The following is a 25,503-nucleotide window of genomic DNA, read 5'->3' on the forward strand; positions in this document are numbered from 1 at the left end:
TCTTTCAGAATTCAACTCAACATCACTAGAGTAATATAAATGTTATATAAGCCAAAATTAAATGCAAGTCTCAAAATGATTTATCAGTGATTATAAGCACTATATCAATTCGAGATTAAATACTTGTCCAAGAAACAAAGCAATCAGCAATGAGCATTTCATTCAAAAATTACTCAACAGACTTCCTAATTAGTAGGCTTCCTACTAAATGAAAATCAGGAATTATGCTAAGTAGCCATGGCCTGAAGTATCCCACTTTGGGCCTTAGGTTGGAAGGATGGTACTTACTAAAACCTTTACAATTAACCGTTGATAACAGCACGAAGCACTGCATTATATGCAAGGTCTCATCTGGGCTCACTTCTCCAATAGCCCTCTGTCTCACCCAACATGCTATGTCCAAATTATAAATGAGGGCAGTGTTCTTTCCGGAAGATCTCTGCCATGTAGCCAAGTATACACATTTGTAGTAACGTTTTAAAAACTGAATACAAAGAAACAAGGATGACTTCTGTCCCTTTCTAAAGACTTTTTCCTCCAATTAAAGCCCTACTCACTCTCCTACTATCCACTTAGTAATAGTTCAAAAATAAATACATTTTTAATTTAGTTTTAAAGTTACATCTATTAAGATTTTAATTTAGTTTTAAAGTTATACCTAATAAGACATATCTTCCAAATTTGAATTGGATATTGAATAATAGAATGATGTATTTTTACACTGAGTTTAATGCCTGACACATTATAATCTTTCATTGAATAGTTTTTATTATCATGTATCTTTCCATAATGAACTAATATTACTGCTCAACATACTCCACTTGTTTTAATCTGATCAAATCTGTCATCATTATAACTCTGCATCTAATATTCTTAAGTTTAATTTAAGTAAGCAGGTAAACTACATGCCAAGCCCTGTATTTGGTTGGGATACAGATTTTTAAAAAGCTTTGAATGGCATAGTTTAGAAGACAAGGCAGATACAAAAGCAAATAAATTACTAAAAAAGTGTGGTAATAAAAGCCATGGTCAATGCTTGCATAGGTGTTTATGCAAGCATAATCCTAGCTGGGAGGATAGGGACTGAAGGAATGATTTCTACTGGAAATGATGAGCAAGTACAAAGATACATAAGCTCTAAAAGCAGCCTGGGAAGAAGTTAAAACTCAATCTGGGAAGGAAAATGGCAAAAAAAAAAAAAAAAAGCCTTCAAGAAAGATATAAAATCTTGGTTACAAAACAAGAGAAAGAAGGACATTTCAGAATGCAAAAAATCCTAGGAACATGACCCTGAGGAGCACTGTTCTGTTGCATGCCAAGGTGCACGGGGAGGGGCAGTGGAAGGAGAGCATAAAAGAAGGTGCAGCCACACTCTGGGGGTTCTGCATTCCTTGCCAAGTCATGTCAACTTTGATATGTAGGTGACAGGAAGCCAAGGAGCATGTGATTGATTTCACACTTTGAGAAGAACAGCATAGCTCAGCAGTTATGAATACAGTCTTTATCATAATTCAAAAGGAGGTCTGTTTGCTATGAGGCTTTCAGAAAGTTACTTAATTTCTCTAAAGCTCTGCAGGCAATTGAAGAACCATGGAAGAATTCTGAGCATGGGAGTTACAATCCCAGTTTCCCAAACTTATGCTTCATAATTGTTCTCTAGTCTCAACAATATCTCTCCACAAAACACAGGGATTTCTCACATAAGTCTCAACGCAACCCAGAACTTTCAGAGTAGAATGTCACTACCCTCCTCTTTTCCATGAGAATATGTATCTGGCTAATTCATCTCTAAAATCACAGTAAGTTAGGTAACGTTGTGGTTGCCCCATCAGATTGGTGTAGTGGTTTATGGACTCCGCAGTCAGATAAATCTGGGTTCGAACTCCAACCATGCTCCTCCTCACCCACTCCAAATACATGGCCTCCTAGACCATTCTTCTCCCGTATTCCAAGCAGAGGAACACTCTTTCTACAAATCTCTCTCTCCCTCCAGGTATCTGCTAAAACATCACCTTATCAGAGAGGTCTCCCCTTACTGCCCTGCTTAAAAAAGTGACATTGCCTATCACAGCATCTTATGCTAGCACTCTGTTGTCTACTTACTGGGCTTTACTGTTCTACATAATTCTAATTACCAGCTGACTTATTATGTTTCCATGTTTATTTGTTGTCTGTCTCTCTCATAAAAGGTGGGGTCCTTCTATGAAGGCAGGGACTTTGTTTTACTCATTGCTAATTCTTCACTACCTAGAACAGTGCAGATCTCTGGTGGGTACACTCAGTAAATACTGAATAAATGATACTTGTTAATTGTGTAACTGTGCACATAATTAATGCTCTCTTTTTGGTATCTGTGGAGTTGGAAGTTATAATAGTGAATTCACAGGATTGTTGTAGGATTAAATAATATAATTCATTTAAAGCACTTTCCTGATTCACAATAAATGTAAGTTGTGTGGTGGTGGTTGTAGTTGTTACTAGTATTACTGTTGTTATAAGTGGTATTGTCTTATATTCATGGTCTTTAATTCACTATGTTCAGGAGTTTGTGATATATTGGATGAATTCACTTACTTAATTACACTGAGTATGCTTATTCATACAATCTTGATTAGTGCAGATGTACTAAAGTCACTTGAAGCTTGTACTATCTGGCTCTTGTCTATTAAAATATTTTAGAAGAAATACAAAGTTTCCATGATCTCTAACAGTGATACATACTCAGGTCATGTTTTCTTAAAAATTGTTTTGCTGATATAAACAATTCTGGGCCGGGCGCAGTGGCTCACACCTGTAATTCCAGCATTTTGGGAGGCCAAGGCAGGCAGATCACAAGGTCAGGAGTTTGAAACCAGCCTGACCAACATGGAGAAACCCCGCCCCTAATAAAATTCAGAAATTAACCGGGAGTGGTGGTGTGCGCCTATAATCCCAGCTACTCAGGAGGTTGAGGCAGGAGAATCGTTTGAACCCGGGAGGTAGAGGTTGCAGTGAGCCAAGATCATACCACTGCACTCCAGCCTAGGCAACAGAACGAGACTCCATGTCAAAAAAAAAAAAAAAAATTCTGAATGTCTAGATATGTGTGAGAGTTCCTAATGCCTGCTTCCTGTCCTAAACAGTTTTCTAAACACGTCATACTAACTTCACATTACACATGGTCATTTTAAGTTTATCAAGGGAACATTTACAAGTTAATTAAGGTTCTCTGAATAATTGGCACTGAAGAAGGTCAAAGTCATACTTACTGGTATTTTTTTTGTCTCCTGCACCCACTTCTTCACCAAGTCACTCTATTACTGCAATGTGGTAATTCACACACATACACCTATATCAGCATCTGAGTTGAGCATGGTAGTTAAGTCACTGCCTTTCTCTAATATGCTCATAAAAGTTGATCCAATAGGCAGTATTTCATACAATTGAATTTTCACATGAAATCAACTCCTGATATTAAACTTTATGTCAAGAAAAGTTAATTGAAATCCATACTATAATTGCAATAGCGGATTATACGTAAATCTTTATCATCTCCAACTGTGCAAAACTTTCTGTTTTCCTACTGGGGAAATAAGCAATACAGAGAGGACTATATGCAACGGCCAGTGTGGTAGATTATTACTAGGCAAGACTGCAGAGTGGCAGGGGCATAGGTTCTGGACCAAACAACACAAGGTGCCATTTTGCCACCTACTAGCTCTATGTCCCTAGGAGGGCTTCTTCTCTCTGTACATGTTTTCTCCTCTCCTAAATGGGGATGGTAATAGTACATATTCAGTAAGCTGTTATAAGAATCAAATGGGCTAATACATCTAAAGCACCTAGAACAAATCCTGACACACAAGTGCTACAGCAGTAGTAGTAGCAGCAGCAGTAGTAATAAAAGAAAAATCAAAGGGCAGAATTTTCTTGTAAGATATAGAAGGAAGCCTTTTGTAGAACTGCAGTGGTCTTCCCCCACTACTTGTGTACATATATGTACAATCACTGTCAGCGACTTCATTTTCTAATATGAAAAGGTCAACAATAGATAATGTAGAATTCATACACACTGAAAACTCCAATGCAAGCAATCTCCTTATATATGACAAGTTGATGTAAATAATTTTTATTTTTCAGGAATAAAATTGAGAACTTTACTATAGCTTACTTCAAAACAGACAGCTATAGAAAGTTAGTGTTTTTCTTACAAAGACTTTTAAGCAATGACTTTTGTTTCAGCTTATCTCTTCAATTTAATTATTGTAAAATTCTGCAGGACCTTTTAAAACTACAGTTATTACTTTTACAAGGAGTTCAGATTCTATATTCTATTTCCAGACTGACTTATTAAATGGTTGTACAACTCTTGGGTCAGAAGCAAACATTAGAGGTTTGCTAATATAAAGATATTAATCATCTTTATATCTTCAGCAGGACTCTACCTAACCCAATACAGACAGATGAAAAATCTATTTTTAGTTTTTAAAAGCACCTAAAGAAAAATTTATAATATTCCTGAGAAAAACACTACAGCTTCAAACAAATCAAAACTCTGATTGGACTCTATTTAAACCTAAACCCTTTGTGCTCTACTATAAATCTCATTCATCTAGCTTAATCTTTTATCTTAAGTTCAGGAACAGCTGGTCAACATCTTTTTGATAATCAGGCCCACCCTAAAAGAGTTGTTTTTTTTTTTCCCCTGATGGCCAAATTAAGGAAAATTTTTGAAAGGTGAATAAAATACAATGTTAAATATAGTTTCAAATACCATCACTCCATTCTATTTCAAAAGCATTTCAGAATTTACAAAACTTCTTATATCTCATTTGATCCTCATCTCCTGAGCTAAACTATTATCTGAAGCTCCTTAAATCCAATTTAAAGAGCCTCAGAGAGGCAACTGACTGATTTAAGTAACCTCAATCTTTAAAAGGCAAAATCACAACTGAGGCAAATGGCTTCTAAACCCAGTAATCTTAATACTATACCATGCCATGCTTATATTATGCAAATCATCAAAGAGAATCAATTATGCAGAACGTCAATTGTTTTTCACTTTTCATGTTGGTTTTCTTTTCAAATCCATAATATCCTTTAAGTTCACACATGGGTCCCACAAAGGACAGGATGGAATGGAGTGAAGAGTAAAGTAGATCCACATTAATTCCGGAAGCAGGTAAAGCTCTAAGAACTCTGCACACTTTTGTTTTAAGCAATATCATACTATTCCCCTTGTGGGTCAAAATTAGCCATTGACAGTCACTTGGCTACACAATGCTAATTTTCCACTTTTATTCAGCCTTTTTCCTTAAATGTTTCCCTCCAAGAAGACTTTGATGAATTTTTAATCATTCTACATATATATCATTCATATAACTGAAAAAGCAAAAACCTAGTCTAAATTGCCTTACAGGTATTATTTCCAATCTAGCTCTAACTCTATGTACAACATGTCCTTGGGAAAGAAAGAAGGGGAAATAGCCTCTACTTTTTTTCTTTTTTTTTTTTAGAAGGAGTCTCGCTCTGTCACCCAGGCTCAAGTGCAGTGGCATGATCTCAGCTCACTGCAGCCTCCACCTTCGGGTTCCAGTGATTCTCCTGCCTCAGCCTCCTGGATAGCTGGGATTACAGGCATGCGCCATCTCGTCTGGTTAATTTTTGTATTTTTAGTAGAGACGGGGTTTCACCATGTTGGCCAGGCTGGTCTCAAACTCCTGACCTCAGGTGATCCACCCAACTTGGCCTCCCAAAGTGCTGGGATTACAGGCATGAGCCACTAGGCCCACCCGTCTCTACTTATTTTTAACACTGATAAAATTGAGACAAAATGAAACGAGTTGCCTAACATCTCATTATATTACAAAAATTAAAAAGGAGGATTACAGCTCAGGTCCACCACTGGAAGTGCCAATGGGCTGCTTCTGTAACTTGGTTAGTCTTTTTGGTGCTTTATATCCCCTTACAGTTATTACTAATGTTATAATTTTCACTTATTGAAAACTATGTCATAGGCAGCATGACTATATTATCTCATTTAATAACAACAACCTTTCAGGATAAGTATCATTGGACCCCATTTCATAAGTGAAAAAACTGATTCTAAATGAGATAAAACAGTTTACCCAAATTACATGCCCAGTAAATTAGGGTTTGAACTCAGGTTGCTGTGAACTCCAAAATCCATCTGTTTACCATAATTCTACACTGTTCTGTAAAATAAAAGGCTTGAACTAAAATGCCAATTTCTGAGATTCCTTGGGTCCCCAACAAGCTATATTTATAAGGTTTCCAGGCAGGGTGTGGTGGCTCACGCCTGTAATCCCAGCACTTTGGGAGGCCAAGGCAGGCGGATCACCTGAAGTCAGGAGTTGGAGACCAGCCTGGTCAATATGGTGAAACCCCATCTCTACTAAAAATACAAAAATTAGCTGGGCATGGTGGTGCACGCCGGCAATCCCAGCTACTCAGGAGGCTGAGGTAGGAAAATCACTTAAACCTGGGAGGTGGAAGTTGCAGTGAGTTGAGATTGCACCACTGCACTCCAGCCTGGGAGAGAAGAGTAAAACCCTGTCTCAAAAAATCAATAAAAAATAAAAATAAGGTTTCCATTATGCCATGGTCCTCAAACTTCACATGCACAAATTTGATTAACTTTCCAAAGGTCAGCAAAAGATAAGTGAATATCCCATGCTGCTATTTCTTTTATTAAACCTCTTTTTCTTTTTCACAAGTCCAGTGACAGCAATAAAAAGAATTAACAACAACAAAAAAATTACCAACAGCTTGTGGAATATAAATTAAACAATTTCTTCCCTTTTTTCTGTTTTTAATATCATGGTTTCAAAAGACATAAACTGAATTCATTGTAGCTACCAGAATACAATTTAATTTGTTAAAATAGATTCCTTGAAATATACAACATGAAAGTAGAATATTTATTCTATGAAATATAAGTAGTTTCTATATTGTCAGTAACTATTTAAAATGCCAATACATACTAATTGTCATTTTTTGATAAATTATTCTGAATTCTTAAAAATCAAACTGTTTTTACAAATTGTCATGTTTGAAGAAGACCAATGACATACACATAATAATAACCTGCTACAAATAGCTCTTTAAGGTCTTTCAAGAAACTTCTGTACATGAAAATATGGTCATTTCAGTTCATTCCTGGCTCTTTATTCACCAGAATTACTCAACTCTGAATGAAATCTTAGAAGCTGCCTTGGGTTGGCATGTATGAAATGTCAAATGCAGTCTGCTAGAAACTAACAGGAAATATTCATCACCAAATAAAATAGAAAGAAGACAGCAAAATTTTTAAAAGGTGGCTGAATGTTGAATCATGGTGATACTTCAATCAAGTAGAAGGCATGCAATTAAGAGATGAGGGTGAAATGTGAACGCGTACCATTATCTTGTGACTAAACTTAGTTTCTTCGTGGCATGCACAGGAAGTTAAGCTTAATCACAGGATATGCAATAATAGTCACAGTATTCCAACAGAAATCCAATGACAACAAAAAACCCAAACAATTTCAACTAATTTTAAACAGAAGGCAAGCTGAGTCATAGTTTTTCACAGCAGGGAATAATGGCTTCCATGAGGGGTGAGCTTAATGAGCTCTGAAGGTAGGTTTTCTAATTAAATTATTCACAGAGGCTTCAATAGTCATCTTTCCTCTTGACTACCTTTTAAAACAATTACATCTTTAACAAATGTACCAATTAATCTTCATCTCAATAGAAGCAAAAGCAGCTAAGTGCAAGATATGTGACAGAGTCCCTTGGTACTGGAAAGCAGCCCTTTGTTCATTCTTTCTTTCAAAATATAAGCACTTTCTGTGAGCTGGGCATGGATGCTGGAAACATGGCTGTGAGCATCCTCCCACACCCTGCCTGCATGGAGCTAGCCATCTAGCAGGGAAGGTGAAACTGAGCACACTCCAGCAGGGTGATAAAAACAGAGATTGAGAACTTTGGGAAAGTGCAACACCTAACCTGGGCTTGTCAGAGGCGTTTGAACCAGAGCAACTCCATCTTGAATAAGGACTGGGTAAAATAAGGCTAAGACCTGCTGGACTGCATTCCCAAATGGCTTGGGATTCTAAGTCACAGGATGAGATAGGAGGTTAGCACAAGGTACAGATCATGAAGACCTTACTGCAAGCTGTTTTAGCTTGCAGTAAAGAAGCCGACCAAAACCCACCAAAACCAAGATGGCAATGAAAGTGACCTCTGGTTGTCCTCACTGCTCATTATACACGAATTATAATGCATTAGCATGCTAAAAGACACTCCCACCAGCACCATGACAGTTTACAAATGGCATGGCAACATCAGAAAGTTACCCTATATGGTCTACAAAGGAGAGGCACAAATAATCCACCCTTAAAAAACGGACTAGATAACAACGTATTAACTGTTTAACCATCACATAAAATAGAGAGTATTTGAGTTTCATCTCAGTATAAACATTTTTTATTCCTACTCTCTATCAGCCCATTAATGATTAACACTATAATCAACACAAACGTATTAATAATTTCCTCTTAGAAAACAGTAAAGCATAAGAAAGACTGTTTTTCATATAGATTTCTAATGCATAAATGGATTAACTCAGTATGAGGATTTTAAATCAATAACACAATTAGATTACTTAAAAACCAAACACATATCCCTTCTCTGCCACATTTTTCTGACTCTAAAGGATATACTTTGAGTTCCTATACATTAGTACATGATCCAGTACACAGATCAGCACTTGCTCCACTGGGGAACTCTAGGCTGGATTGATTACATCTGTGTGTTTTGGCTCAAATTCAAGCCATGGAAAGTTAAGGATTAATTCATGTGTCAAGGAACTCTAGGACAAAGAGTTAGTGACAGTTTTATAGAAGCTCTTAGAAGCAAATGTATCTGCCTGCTTCACCCTTCTGTCACTCACCTCCATGAAGAAGGTTCATTTCAATCAGCATAATCTTATATGCAATGATTATACAGTGACTCCAGTATCTATCACTTTGGTAGGTGACACCATTGTGTCTATATGCACATTTGTATGAAGCTTCAAAGCCTTGGAAAAACTTGATGTGTTGAAAATTATTATAGCTTATTTTCTCTTCATTGGTAAAAACCAATTGATTAAAAACCAGCTTGAGTTTTGGTTCAGCTGAAATAGGAATTTGCATTGCCCCTATTATTAACTATCTTAACTCCCACAGATTTTGTTAAGATGTTTTGTACTATCTCCTTTGATACTCTAGAACTACAGAACAGTGTTGAAGTGTTACAACTCTGAGGAGAGAAGAATATACAGTAGTTCTTTTTTGTTGTTGTTTTTTTGGGACAGGGTCTCCCTGTGTAGCCCAGGTTGGAGTATAGTAGCATAATCACAGCTCACTACAACCTAGACTTCCTGGACCAAGTGACCCTCCCACCTGAGTAGCCAGGACTACAGGTGCATGCCACCATGCCCAGCTAATTTTTTTTTTTTTTTTTTTTTTTTTTACTTTTTGCGGAGATGAATTTTCACTATGTTGCCCAGGCTGGTCTCTAACTAGGCTCAAGCCATCCTCCTACCTCAGCCTCCCGAAATACTGGGATAACAGGCATAAGCCAATGTGCCTAGCCTTTCCTTTTTCATTATAGTCAACCTGTAAAAAATATTCTATTTAAAGCATTTTCAATATAGTAAGATAAATAATTCTGTGTGTGTGTATGTGTGTGTATTGTGTGACAAAAGTAGAGAGCTCTATGGTGTTGCTTAATTTCTGTGTTCCATGATATCCAAAAACCTGGGAAACCACTTTGAAAGGCTCCAGGCCTAAGGAACAGAGTAAAGAGGAATCTTCAGGCTTCCTTCTAAATTTTTGCAGCCACAATTACCCTATTAATAAAGGAGACAGGAATTCCTATTAAAAACCCCAAATAAAGGGATAACAAGCACACAGGTCTTGAATATTTCCCACAAGGAATAGCAAAGTTAGGAAGGCATTGAACAACTTGCACAAGGTTGAAACCTTGTGGACTAGAAGCACACCATCCCCTAATAAATGTCTTCGATACTATTTAAAAATGTACCCAGGAGCCAGGCACAATGGCTCACACCTATAATCCTAGCACTTTGGGAGGCCAAGGCAGGAGGATCGCTTGAGGCCAGAAGTTCAAGACCAGCCTGGGCAACCTAGCAAGACCCCATCTCTACAAAAAAATTTAAAAATTAGCTGGGCATGGTAGCACACACATGTAGTCCTAGCTACTTAAAAGGCTGAAACAAGAGGATCGCTTGAGTCCAGGAATTTGAGGCTACAATGAGCTATGATCATACCAGTTCACTTCAGCCTGGGTGACAGAGTGAGACCCTGTCTCTCCAAAAAAAAAAAAAAAAAAAAGTATCCAGGATACATAGGGACAGAAATGACTGTCAAAAAGGAAGAAGTTCTTATACTCACAGATCCCTTGAAACAGGAGGCATGACATGCCAGGCAGGGCCACATGGGGAAGCACCAGCGTTGGTCAAGAGGCAGAGGGAACAAGGGAAAAACACAGGCTCATGCCCTTATTGTGGATTTTGTGGGAAGGAATGGCCAAGGCAGGGTAAGCAGGCTGAGGGGGCTTAGGATGTGCTGGTTTAAATCATTTCTGTGGGCTCTGGTTGTCCGGTACATGGCGCTGGGGTGATGAGGGCAGGGGAATATTGGCTGGGAGCATAAGAGCCCAGCAGAGGGAAGAGGGGTGAGTTCTGACTGATAAGTTTGCATATGAGAGGCTCATTCCCTGACTAGTTGTTTGCTATTTCTAGACTCCAGGTGCCAGAGCATCAAAGAAACAGAAAACAAGAAAATATTGTTAATACAAATATTGATACTAATTAACTATGTCTTAGTCAAATAAGGCCTAGGAAAGTAGATAAAATCAAATTGTGACACATGGGTAAGGTTCTTGAGGCTTGCCTCACCAAGAGAAGATACATATGATCCCCAACCAACAATCAGGCCCTCTATCTCCAACCCTAACCCACCTTGCAATACTCCTTTTCTCACCATAAAAACTCTAACTTCCCTCTTACTTTTGTTTCTGATATTCACTCTCCTTAAGAACGTAATATAACCTAGAAAATTACTACAGATGTGTGTGTGTGTGCGCGTGCGCGCACGCTTACATATTTGTGACAGTAAAAAAAAAAAAAAAGAGAAGACTCACTGCCTTTCTAGGGGGCACAGAGGACAATAATTCTAATAACACATTCCTAGAAGCTCTCCCATTCTTGAAGGTAAAATGCACTTGAGAGCCATGACCCACCAAAACATAAATGATTAACAAAAATAATGATTGCACCATTCAATCAAATCACAAAGAATTAGCCAGGAAATAAAAAAGAAGAAAGATGAAGGAGTAAAAAATAGAAGAAAAGACACAGGACTGAGCTTCAAGTACAATCTAGACCTGCAATAAACAAAGAAGGTTCTAGATACCACATTTTATCAATGCAAATGGTCTGAATAAGTAAATGAACTAAAAGGCATCGTTGGAATGTGTTTTGTGAGATTGATTTACTGATAGCAGCTTTCTACAAAAAATAAAAATAAGTAGGTAAATCTTAAATCCCAAAGGGAAGTCACTATACAAGACTTTTGACTTATTTTTATCTCCTTTGAGTCTTACAAGCATATATGGTAGGCATTATTATAACCAAATTTTCAGATAAAGGGGCTAAGGTTCAGAAAGCATAAGCAACATTAACCCTTCAGTTCAAACAATATTTAACAGGTAGCTTCTTGTTTAAGCCACTTTGTCCAGTTTTTTTTAGGATACTAAAGGGACATAACTACTAACTCTCCCCCAAAATCAAACCTGAAGGAACTAAAGAAGAAAACACCAAGACATGGAAAAGTATAAGAAAAAATGGCAAACCATGACAAAGCAGCTGAGTTTATGCAAAATATGCTAGAATGATTCAGTCTTAGACTGTCTATAATTACAACTTGCCACATTAGCAGATGACAAGAAAACATACTATCTTTTAAATAGATTCAGGAAAAACATTTCATAGATTTCAACACCAATTCATTATTTAAAATTTTATTTATTTTATTTTATTTTATTTTATTTGAGACAGGGTCTCGCTCTGTCACCCAGGCCAGAGTGCAGTGGCGTGATCACAATTCACTGCAGCCTCCACCTCCTAGGCTCAAGCAATCCTCCCACCTCAGCCTTCTGAATACCTGGGACAACAGGCGCATGCCCCCACACCTAGCTAATTTTTGTATTTTTTGTAGTGACAGTGTTTCACCGTGTTGCCTAGCCTGGTCTCGAACTCCTGGGCTCAAGTGATCCACCTGCCTCAGCCTCTCAAAGTGTTGGGATCACAGGCATGAGCCACTGTGCCCAGCCCATGATTAAAACATTTTTCAAAATCTTAGTAAATTAGGATGAGAGCTTCCTTAACCTGATAAAAAAAAAATCTACAAAAAGTCTACTGTGAACATCATTATAAATGGGGGAACGTTAGAGATATTCCTCTTAAAATCAGAAATAAGGCAAGGAGAGTCACCATCACCGCTCCTATTTAAAACCATATACAAGACAAAAAGAAAAAAATATCTTCTCATTCCTAGAAGATATGCAGTCTTGCTATCAGTTTTGTCAAGTACCAAGATCAAAAGAATGAAAACACAAACCAACCAAGACTGCCATTAAATGAATAATCTAAACCACGGTGTCCTAAAGATGTGGTTAGCAAGTTGATTTTCATAGGTCCACAGGTGAATATCTTTAGTTGTCATTAATCTGTATTTATTTTAATGTAAATCACAAAAAATTTAACTAACAAATTAAATCCATGACTATTCAAGTATACAGACATTATTTTAGAATGAGGCTATAAGTAGGTACTGATCACTTAAGTTTAACAACAACCAAGCAAAATCTGTCTTTATAATAAAGTCCAAATAAGAAAAAAAAAAACAACAACAAAAAACTTCATAATTTAATCCAAAAGTCATTAGTTGGTGCCTAGAAGGGAGTTGTCTTGATACAGCAGCAGAGTTCATGTAATGAGCAGGCTGGAAACATGTTAGCACAGAGTGTCGGAGCCTGAGAGGGGTGAGCGGGTATCGTCTTGGGGAGGGTTGGTAGCCGAATACAAGGTGTTGGGATCCAAGCAGGAAGAGGAAGATGTCTGCACAAAGGGCCCAAGAGGGTGGGTGGGAGCATCAGATTGCAACCAGATTGAGGGGACATCCACATGGGATGGAGGGTGGCAGCAGTCTGACCCAGGGTGGCAGAGCCAAAATGGAATGAGAAGGGTGTCTGTGTAGGGGTGGGCAGCTGCAGCCTGGCTCAGGATGTCAAAGGCCAAGTGGAGTGAGAAGGATACCCACACCAAGAGTATGATGCACTGTGGCAGTGGCAGCCCAGAGCAGGTGAGCAGACTGAGAAGGGTGAAGAGGACTCCAGTGCAGAAGCAGGCCAAACCAAAATATCAGAGCCTAAATGGTATGGAGTCTCCATGCAGAGCATGGGGCAGGATGCGTTTATGTTGGAGACCAGGAGTGATGGAGGCAGCATCCACATAGAGGAGGAGGAAAAGGCAGCAATGTTGACACTATATTGGTTAAATACAGGAGACTGAGCAAAGTAAGTAAATCTACTGAGGGATAAGAGGGTCAGGTTACTCAACTGTTCAAGAAGTAGTTACAAATATGCAAAGGGAAAAAACTTAAAATCAATCCTTGTGATGCTGGCTTAGAATTGGAAGTATTGCTGGGAACTCATAGTTCTCAATATACAGAGATTAGCATAGAAATAAAGATCGGCCGGGTGCAGTGGCCTCACTTTGGGAGGCCAACGTGGGTGGATCATGAGGTCAGGAGATCGAGACAATCCTGGCTAACACAGTGAAACCCTGTCTCTACTAAAAATACAAAAAAAAGAAACAGCCAGGCATGGTGGCATGTGCCTGTAGTCCCAGCTACTCGGGAGGCTGAGGCAGGAGAATTGCTTGAACCCAGGAGGCAGAGGTTGCAGTGAGCCGAGATAGTGCCACTGCAACCCAGCCTGGGTGACAGAGCGAGACTCTGTCTCAAAAAAAAACAAAAAAAAAACAAAGAATGATCAATGTAAATACATGTGCACATGTATGTGTGTGTGTGTGTGAGTGTGTGTGTATGTATACAAATTCCTTAGCTGTGTCCACTGTGAGGCCCTGGGAACAGTGACACTCCAAAAGCAGCAAGCACACTGAGCCCAGATCTTGGTTTCTAAATACAATTCTCCACCAAAAAGAATCAGTGCTCTTAGAGAAATGACTGATTCCAGGACTAGCTAGGATAGGTACAAGATGAATTTGAAATATACCAGAAAGTATTAAAATGCTCAAAGAACGATGGTTATATATCAAAAAGACACAGAAGTCAGGGGATCTCATTGACCAAATATGGGACAATATTAACATCAAAGCAAATAATAAAAAATGAGTTATAACCCATTGAATAAAATACGAATCTATTAGTTTATGCTAATATACACATAAAAAATACATATATACAAACATACATACATGCGGAGAACAGACAGCTTTATCTTACCAGAAAATATCAATTAAGAAATGTAAAGAAAATGATAGAATTGGAAAAATCACTATTATCAGCCATCACAGAAATAATTCAGTCAAGAAATATTGGGGGAGGAGCCAAGATGGCCGAATAGGAACAGCTCCGGTCTACAGCTCCCAGCGTGAGTGACGCAGAAGACAGGTGATTTCTGCATTTCCATCTGAGGTACCAGGTTCATCTCACTAGGGAGTGCCAGACAGTGGGCGCAGGTCAGTGGGTGCGCGCACCATGCGCGAGCCGAAGCAGGGCGAGGCATTGCCTCACTTGGGAAGCGCAAGGGGTCAGGGAGTTCCCTTTCCGAGTCAAAGAAAGGGGTGACGGACACACCTGGAAAATCGGGTCACTCCCACCCGAATATTGTGCTTTTCGGACCGGGTTAAAAAACGGCACACCACGAGATTATATCCCTCACCTGGCTCAGAGGGTCCTACGCCCACAGAGTCTCACTGATTGCTAGCACAGCAGTCTGAGATCAAACTGCAAGGTGGCAGCGAGGCTGGGGAAGAGGCGCCCGCCATTGCCCAGGGCTGCTTAGGTAAACAAAGCAGCCTGGAAGCTCGAACTGGGTGGAGCCCACCACAGCTCAAGGAGGCCTGCCTGCCTCTGTAGGCTTCACCTCTGGGGGCAGGGCACAGACAAACAAAAAGACAGCAGTAACCTCTGCAGACTTAAATGTCCCTGTCTGACAGCTTTGAAGAGAGCAGTGGTTCTCCCAGCACGCAGCTGGAGATCTCAGAACGGGCAGACTGCCTCCTCAAGTGGGTCCCTGACCCCTGACCCCCGAGCAGCCTAACTGGGAGGCACCCCCCAGCAGGGGCACACTGACACCTCACACGGCAGGGTATTCCAACAGACCTGCAGCTGAGGGTCCTGTCTGTTAGAAGGAAAACTAACAAACAGAAAGGACATCCACACCAAAAACCCATCTGTACATCACCATCATCAAAGACCAAAAGTAGATAAAACCACAAAGATTGGAAAAAAACAGAACAGAAAAAGTAGAAACTCTAAAACGCAGAGCACCTCTCCTCCTCCAAAGGAACGCAGTTCCTCACCAGCAACGGAACAAAGCTGGATGGAGAATGACTTTGACGAGCTGAGAGAAGAAGGCTTCAGACGATCAAATTACTCTGAGCTACGGGAGGACACTCAAACCAAAGGCAAAGAAGTTGAAAACTTTGAAAAAAATTTAGAAGAATGTATAACTAGAATAACCAATACAGAGAAGTGCTTAAAGGAGCTGATGCAGCTGAAAACCAAGGCTCGAGAACTACATGAAGAATGCAGAAGCCTCAGGAGCTGATGCGATCAACTGGAAGAAAGGGTATCAGCGATGGAAGATGAAATGAATGAAATGAAGCGAGAAGGGAAGTTTAGAGAAAAAAGAATAAAAAGAAACAAACAAAGCCTCCAAGAAATATGGGACTATGTGAAAAGACCAAATCTACGTCTGATTGCTGTACCTGAAAGTGATGGGGAGAATGGAACCAAGTTGGAAAACACGCTGCAGGATATTATCCAGGAGAACTTCCCCAATCTCGCAAGGCAAGCCAACGTTCAGATTCAGGAAATACAGAGAACGCCACAAAGATACTCCTCAAGAAGAGCAACTCCAAGACACATAATTGTCAGATTCACCAAAGTTGAAATGAAGGAAAAAATGTTCAGGGCAGCCAGAGAGAAAGGTCGGGTTACCCTCAAAGGGAAGCCCATCAGACTAACAGCGTATCTCTCAGCAGAAACCCTACAAGCCAGAAGAGAGTGGGGGGCAATATTCAACATTCTTAAAGAAAAGAATTTTCAACCCAGAATTTCACATCCAGCCAAACTAAGCTTCAGAAGTGAAGGACAAATAAAATACTTTACAGACAAGCAAATGCTGAGAGATTTTGTCACCACCAGGCCTGCTTTACAAGAGCTCCTGAAGGAAGCGCTAAACATGGAAAGGAACAACCAGTACCAGCCGCTGCAAAATCATGCCAAAATGTAAAGACCATCGAGACTAGGAAGAAACTGCATCAACTAACGAGCAAAATCACCAGCTAACATCATAATGACAGGATCAAATTCACACATAACAATATTAACCGTAAATGTAAATGGACTAAATGCTCCAATTAAAAGACACAGACTGGCAAATTGGATAAAGAGTCAAGACCCATCAGTGTGCTGTATTCAGGAAACCCATCTCACGTGCAGAGACACACACAGGCTCAAAATAAAAGGATGGAGGAAGATCTACCAAGCAAATGGAAAACAAAAAAAGGCAGGGGTTGCAATCTTAGTCTCTGATAAAACAGACTTTAAACCAACAAAGATCAAAAGAGACAAAGAAGGCCATTACATAATGGTAAAGGGATCAATTCAACAAGAAGAGCTAACTATCCTAAATATATATGCACCCAATACAGGAGCACCGAGATTCATAAAGCAAGTCCTGAGTGACCTACAAAGAGACTTAGACTCCCACACATTAATAATGGGAGACTGTAACACCCCACTGTCAACATTAGACAGATCAACGAGACAGAAAGTCAACAAGGATACCCAGGAATTGAACTCAGCTCTGCACCAAGCGGACCTAATAGACATCTACAGAACTCTCCACCCCAAATCAACAGAATATACATTTTTTTCAGCACCACACCACACCTATTCCAAAATTGACCACATACTTGGAAGTAAAGCTCTCCTCAGCAAATGTAAAAGAACAGAAATTATAATGAACTATCTCTCAGACCACAGTGCAATCAAACTAGAACTCAGGATTAAGAATTTCACTCAAAACCGCTCAACTACATGGAAACTGAATAACCTGCTCCTGAATGACTACTGGATACATAACGAAATGAAGGCAGCAATAAAGATGTTCTTTGAAACCAGCGAGAACAAAGACACAACATACCAGAATCTCTGGGACACATTCAAAGCAGTGTGTAGAGGGAAATTTATAGCACTAAATGCCCACAGGAGAAAGAAGGAAAGATCTAAAATTGACACCCTAACATCACAATTAAAAGAACTAGAGAAGCAAGAGCAAACACATTCCAAAGCTAGCAGAAGGCAAGAAATAACTAAAATCAGAGCAGAACTGAAGGAAATAGAGACACAAAAAACCCTTCAAAAAATTAATGAATCCAGGAGCTGGTTTTTTGAAAAGATCAACAAAATTGATAGACCGCTAGCAAGACTAATAAAGAAAAAAAGAGAGAAGAATCAAATAGAGGCAATAAAAAATGATAAAGGGGATATCACCACCAATCCCACAGAAATACAAACTACCATCAGAGAATACTACAAACACCTCTACACAAATAAACTAGAAAATCTAGAAGAAATGGATAAATTCCTTGCCACATACACTCTCCCAAGACTAAACCAGGAAAAAGTTGAATCTCTGAATAGACCAATAACCGGAGCTGAAATTGTGGCAATAATCAATAGTTTACCAACCAAAAAGAGTCCAGGACCAGACGGATTCACAGCCGAATTCTATCAGAGGTACAAGGAGGAACTGGTACCATTCCTTCTGAAACTATTCCAATCAATAGAAAAAGAGGGAATCCTCCCTAACTCATTTTATGAGGCCAGCATCATTCTGATACCAAAGCCGGGCAGAGACACAACCAAAAAAGAGAATTTTAGACCAATAGCCTTGATGAACATTGATGCAAAAATCCTCAATAAAATACTGGCAAAACGAATCCAGCAGCACATCAAAAAGCTTATCCACCATGATCAAGTGGGCTTCATCCCTGGGATGCAAGGCTGGTTCAATATACGCAAATCAATAAATGTAATCCAGCATATAAACAGAACCAAAGAAAAAAACCACATGATTATCTCAATAGATGCAGAAAATGCCTTTGACAAAATTCAACAACCCTTAATGCTAAAAACTCTCAATAAATTAGGTACTGATGGGATGTATCTCAAAATAGTAAGAGCTATCTATGACAAACCCACAGCCAATATCATACTGAATGGGCAAAAACTGGAAGCATTCCTTTTGAAAACTGGCACAAGACAGGGATGCCCTCTCTCACCACTCCTATTCAACATAGTGTTGGAAGTTCTGGCCAGGGCAATTAGGCAGGAGAAGGAAATAAACGGTATTCAATTAGGAAAAGAGGAAGTCAAATTGTCCCTGTTTGCAGACGACATGATTGTATATCTAGAAAACCCCATTGTCTCAGCCCAAAATCTCCTTAAGCTGATAAGCAACTTCAGCAAAGTCTCGGGATACAAAATCAATGTACAAAAATCACAAGCATTCTTATACACCAATAACAGACAAACAGAGAGCCAAATCATGAGTGAACTCCCATTCACAAATGCTTCAAAGAGAATAAAATACCTAGGAATCCAACTTACAAGGGATGTGAAGGACCTCTTCAAGGAGAACTACAAACCACTGCTCAAGGAAATAAAAGAGGATACAAACAAATGGAAGAACATTCCATGCTCATGGGTAGGAAGAATCAATATCATGAAAATGGCCATACTGCCCAAGGTAATTTACAGATTCAATGCCATCCCCATCAAGCTACCAATGACTTTCTTCACAGAATTGGAAAAAACTACTTTAAAGTTCATATGGAACCAAAAAAGAGCCCGCCATCGCCAAGGCAATCCTAAGCCAAAAGAACAAAGCTGGAGGCATCACGCTACCTGACTTCAAACTATACTACAAGGCTACAGTAACCAAAACAGCATGGTACTGGTACCAAAACAGAGATATAGATCAATGGAACAGAACAGAGCCCTCAGAAATAATGCCGCATATCTACAACTATCTGATCTTTGACAAACCTGAGAAAAACAAGCAATGGGGAAAGGATTCCCTATTAAATAAATGGTGCTGGGAAAACTGGCTAGCCATATGTAGAAAGCTGAAACTGGATCCCTTCCTTATACCTTATACAAAAATTAATTCAAGATGGATTAAAGACTTAAACGTTAGACCTAAAACCATAAAAACCCTAGAAGAAAACCTAGGCAATACCATTCAGGACATAGGCATGGGCAAGGACTTCATGTCTAAAACACCAACAGCAATGGCAACAAAAGCCAAAATTGACAAATGGGATCTAATTAAACTAAAGAGCTTCTGCACAGCAAAAGAAACTACCATCAGAGTGAACAGGCAACCTACAAAATGGGAGAAAATTTTCACAACCTACTCATCTGACAAAGGGCTAATATCCAGAATCTACAATGAACTCAAACAAATTTACAAGAAAAAAACAAACAACCCCATCAAAAAGTGGGTGAAGGACATGAGCAGACACTTCTCAAAAGAAGACATTTATGCAGCCAAAAAACACATGAAAAAATGCTCATTATCACTGGCCATCAGAGAAATGCAAATCAAAACCACAATGAGATACCATCTCACAACAGTTAGAATGGCAATCATTAAAAAATCAGGAAACAACACGTGCTGGAGAGGATGTGGAGAAATAGGAACACTTTTACACTGTTGGTGGGACTGTAAACTAGTTCAACCATTGTGGAAGTCAGTGTGGCGATTCCTCAGGGATCTAGAACTAGAAATACCATTTGACCCAGCCATCCCATTACTGGGTATATACCCAAAGGACTATAAATCTTGCTGCTATAAAGACACAAGCACACGTATGTTTATTGTGGCATTATTCACAATAGCAAAGACTTGGAACCAACCCAAATGTCCAACAATGACAGACTGGATTAAGAAAATGTGGCACATATACACCATGGAATACTATGTAGCCATAAAAAATGATGAGTTCATGTCCTTTGTAGGGACATGGATGAAATTGGAAATCATCATTCTCAGTAAACTATCGCAAGAACAAAAAACCAAACACCGCATATTCTCACTCATAGGTGGGAATTGAACAATGAGATCACATGGACACAGGAAGGGGAATATCACACTCTGGGGACTGTGGTGGGGTGGGGGGAAGGGGGAGGGATAGCATTGGGAGATATACCTAATGCTAGATGACGAGTTAGTGGGTGCAGCGCACCAGCATGGCACATGTATACATATGTAACTAACCTGCACAATGTGCACATGTACCCTAAAACTTAAAGTATAAAAAAGAAAAAAATTAATAGATGCTAAAGCAGTGGATTAAAATTTGACATGGAAGAGACTATTTACATAATCTCAAAATGCCTTCTTTATTCAAGTGATCAAAGCTAACATCACTATAAGTGGACGAATTTAAATTATGTTCCACCTGATGGGATGCAATAAACAGGCAGGGCGCGATGGCTCACACCTGCAATCCCAGCACTTTGGGAGGCCAAGGCAGGTGGATCACTTGAGGCCAGGAGTTCAAGACCGGCCTAGCCAACATAGCAAAACCCCATCTCTACTAAAAATACAAAAATCAGTCAGGCATGGTGGCAGATGCCTGTAATCCCAGTTACTCAATGACTGAGGCTCAAGAATTGCTGAAACCCAGGAGGCAAAGGTTGCCGTGAGCTGAGATCATGCCACTGCATACCAGCCTGGCGACAGAATGAGACTCCGTCTCAAAAAAAAAAAAAAAAAAACAACAAAAAAAAAAACAACAACAACAACCCCAGCATCACTTCTGTGATATTCCTGCCAGAAATACATAACCTGAATCTAATTGTGAGGAAACATTAAACAAACATAAACTGAAGAACATTCTCCAAAATTACTGGTCTGTATTCTTCAAAACTTTTGAGATCATCAATGTTATGGGAAGACTGAAGACTAAGAGGGAATGACAAGTGAATGCAGCGTGTGCTTCTGACTGACATCCTTTCGCTTTTACAAAGGATATTATTGAGACAAATGGTGGAACTTGTCTAATCTACAATATATATCTATACTCTAATGAGGGTAGTAATGTATCTGTTAATTTTTTATTATGACTATGTTGGAAAATATCCCTTTGAGAGAAATAAATACTAAAATATTTGGGAGTGATGGGCATCATGTTAGCAAATTACTCTCAAATGTTTCAGGTGAGGGGAAAGTTTCTTACACTATTTCTGAAACTTTTTTGTATGTTTAGAATTATTAATAAATTTTTTATAAAGGAATCAATCAATTCAAAAAAAATACCAAGCAGCTAAAATATAAAAGTTGAGTATGTGAATGAGGTGCTCTCCAACTAAATTTGGAAATACTACTCTAAGTAAATGTAAAGAGGAAATGCAGCCATACCAAGCATCTAAATGCTCACAACCCTTCTCCTAGGGTAAAAATTATGCGGGGTATTGTTAAAACAATTTAAATTAAAAATGCTCTGAGTAATCTCTTTATATAAAACATAAGCTCTGAGGAACTGAGATTTCTTCCTTAGGGAACCTAATATATTTAAAGCACGGGGATCCCTGAAACAAAGAAAATTCTAAATAAGAGTAAAGCCAAATTCTAGATTGTATAAAGCCCTTAGAGACTCTTACATTGTACTCCTCATAGAAATAGGGTAATATAGTCATGGACTAGTGTTGGATAATACAGGTCTTGGCTATATTCTAAAACTCATTTTTCTCCTTTTACAATTAATATGGTTCATAAAACAATTACCAAAACTGAGCTCTAATATTGGAAAAGTCATCCCACAGAAAACAAAAACAGAAACAAAAGGTAAAGACAATCCTGATAGAAAAAGAAAGTGATATTATTCTATTTATCGAATGATGGCTTTCTATAAAGTACAAATATAAAGACTGCTTTTAGAGTAAAAGAAAAAAAGATAAATTCTGTAATCAGAAGCTGAGCTCAAAATCAATTTTGCTAGCTCTATCACCTTCAACAACGTAAACTAACCTCTATAAACCCCAGTTTTCTCATTTCTTTTTTCCTTTTTTTCTTTCTTCCTTTATTATTTATTTATTTATTTATTTGAGTTGGAGTTTTGCTCTGTTGCCCAGACTGGAATACAGTGGTGCAATCATGGCTCACCGTAGCCTCGAACTCCTGGGCTCAAACAATCCTCCCACCTTAACCTTCTGAGTAGCTAGACTACCAGCACTACATCCAGTTAACTTCTTTCTTTTTTAGAGACGGAGTCTTGGTATGTTGCCCAGGCTGGTCTCGAACTCCTGGCCTCAACTGATCCTCCTGTCTTGGCCTCCCAAAGTTCTGGAATTACAGGCATGAACCACTGCACCCAGCCAGTTTTCTCATTTCTAAAAGCAGAAATAAATCAGGGCTTTGGTTTCTCCATACAATAAGCACATGAAAGTGTGCTCAGTATCCTTGAAGCCTGTGTATTTGGAGGAAAAGAAAAAAAGAGAGAAAATGTGCTCAGTATCATTAGCCATGAGGGAAATGCAAATTCAAACCACAATGAGATACCACTTCACACTCAAAAGAAGGACTAAAATTTAAATGATGGGTGTATTAGTCTACTCCAGTTGCCATAAAAAATTACCACAAACAGGGTGGCTTAAACAACAGAAATTTATTTTCTCACAGTTCTGGAAACTAGAAGTCCAAGATCAAAGTTTTAGCAAGTCTGGTTTCTCCCAAGGCCCCTTTCTTTGGCTTGCAGATGGCCCACTTCTTGTGTGTTCACATGGTCATCCTCTGTGCATGCATGTGTATGGTGTCTCTGTGTGTGACCAAAGTTAATCTTCTTGTAAAGACACCAGTCAGAATTGGATTAGGGCCTACCATAACAGCCTTATTTTACCTCTTAATTACCTCTTTAATTACCTCTTTAATGGGCTTATCTCAAAATACAGTCACACTCTGAGGTACAGGGCATTAAATCTTCAACATATGAACTTGGGAGGAGGATATTCAGTCCATAACAATGGAAATTATCAAATGTTGGCAAGAATGAGGATCAACCAGAACTCATATGTATTGCTGGTGGAAGTAAAATGACATGTATCAACCCATTTCTACTTAAATGAAAGAACAACCCATAAATTATATGGAAAGGAAAGAGAAGTCACAATATAGCACCCCCAAAACACTTGTTTAAGAATGTTCATACCAGTAAAAAACTGGACACAGCCTAGGTTTCCATCAACAGGAAAATGGTAAGGTAAATTGAGGTAGATTCATGCAACAAAATACTACTATGTAGCATTACAGATAAAAGCAATGTGGAAAAATTTCAAAACCTTTATGCCTAGTGAAAGAATCCTGACACAAGAGTATACACTATATGATTCAATTTGTGCATTTCTCAATTTTATAAACATTATAAATTTTGCTTCAGTAAAAAAAATGCATAAACAGACTATTTAATAATCTGCCTTTCAGATTATCCAGATAGGTCCAATGTAATTACAACAGTCCTTATAGGAGGGATACAAGAGGATACAGAATTGGAGGAAAAGGCAATGTGAAAACAGAAGTTCAGATTGAAATGATGTGGCTATAAGCAAAGGAATGCCAAGTCAGCCCCAAGAATCTAGAAGAGGCAAATAATAGATTCTGGAGTCCAGAATGAACCAGCCTTGCTGATACTTTGATTTTAGGGCTGTATGACTGATTTCAGACTTCTGACATCCAGAACACTAAAATAATAATACATTTGTATTGTTTTAAGCCACTAAAAGTTTATGGTAATTTGGCATAGCAGCAATGAGAAACTCATATGCCCATCACTGGCATCCCAGAAGAAGACAAGAAAGAGAAGGATACTTAAAAAGTACTGGAAGAAATAATAGCTGAAAACTTCTCACATTTGCAAGTCATAAACCTACAGATGCAATACACTAAATAAACCCCAAACAGAATAAACCCAAGGAAATATACACCAACACACATTACAGTTCAGCTTCTGAAAACTAAAGGCCAAGGAAAAATTCTGAAAGCACTAAGACAGAAATGATACCTTAACTATAAAAGAGAAACAATTTAAATGACAGCAGGTTTCTCATAAAAAAGATGGAGGCCAAAAGAAAGCAGTATATTTTTCTTTTTTTTTTTTTTTTTTTTTGTGAGATGGAGTCTCGCTCTGTCGCCCAGGCTGGAGTGCAGTGGCGGGATCTCGGCTCACTGCAAGCTCCGCCTCCCGGGTTCACGCCATTCTCCTGCCTCAGCCTCCCGAGTAGCTGGGACCACAGGCACCCGCCACTACGCCCGGCTAATTTTTTGTATTTTTAGTAGAGACGGGGTTTCACCGTTTTAGCTGGGATGGTCTTGATCTCCTGACCTCGTGATCCGCCCGCCTCGGCCTCCCAAAGTGCTGGGATTACAGGCGTGAGCCACCGCGCCTGGCCGAAAGCAGTATATTTTTCAAGTGCTGAAAGAGAAAAAACTGCCAACCCAGACTCCTATACCCAGTGAAAATATCAAAATATTCTCAGATGAATGAAAACTAAAAGATTTTGTTGCAGCAGATCTACTCTAAAAGAATAGCTAAAGGAATTTCTCTAAATAGAAAAAAAAGAAATCTTTAAATATGAGGAAAAAAGAACACAGTGAGAAAAATATAAGTAAATACAATGAACTTTTTTTCTTCACTTCAGGTTTCTAGACTGTTTGATGGTGGAAACAAAACTTATACTCAAATGTGATTCTAAATGTAAGTAGCAGAAATATTAAGATGACTAAATTACTTGTATGGGAGAGTAAAGGGAAGTTATGGGAGCTAATGTTTCTATACTTCACTCAAACAGTTAAAATTACATCAGTAGATTGAGATAAGTTATTACATGTTATTACATATATATGTATACATATTATATGTAAATGTATATTACATATTATATATATGTAATATGTATTACATAATATATGTATACAACATATATAAGTTGTTATAAGTAATATCTAGTGTAACTACTGAAAAAACAATATAAAAAGATACATTTAAAAACACTGTTAGGGCTCGGAGTGGTGGCTCACGCCTGTAATCCCAGCACTTTGGGAGGCCGAGGCGGGCAGATCACCTGAGGCCAG

General features: G+C 38.7%; 1 protein-coding gene across 8 annotated transcripts in view, besides 1 other annotated feature; it reads right to left on the reverse strand.

Annotated features, from left to right (window-relative positions):
* The window catches only part of SCFD2 (sec1 family domain containing 2), a 493,080-nt gene that overhangs the window by 441,077 nt on the left and 26,500 nt on the right, over window positions 1–25,503 (reverse strand). The gene's annotated exons all lie outside the window — the stretch shown is intronic.
* Window positions 15,033–15,610: an enhancer, noted in NCBI's record as "NANOG-H3K27ac-H3K4me1 hESC enhancer chr4:54195258-54195835 (GRCh37/hg19 assembly coordinates)". NCBI's record gives its function as "activates a minimal SCP1, AML or CMV promoter by ChIP-STARR-seq in naive H9 embryonic stem cells {active_cell/tissue: H9 hESC(naive)}" and the evidence as "EXISTENCE:reporter gene assay evidence [ECO:0000049][PMID:30033119]".

Source organism: Homo sapiens, chromosome 4 (assembly GCF_000001405.40).
Source record: "Homo sapiens chromosome 4, GRCh38.p14 Primary Assembly".
NCBI classification, from domain to species: Eukaryota; Metazoa; Chordata; class Mammalia; order Primates; family Hominidae; genus Homo; species Homo sapiens.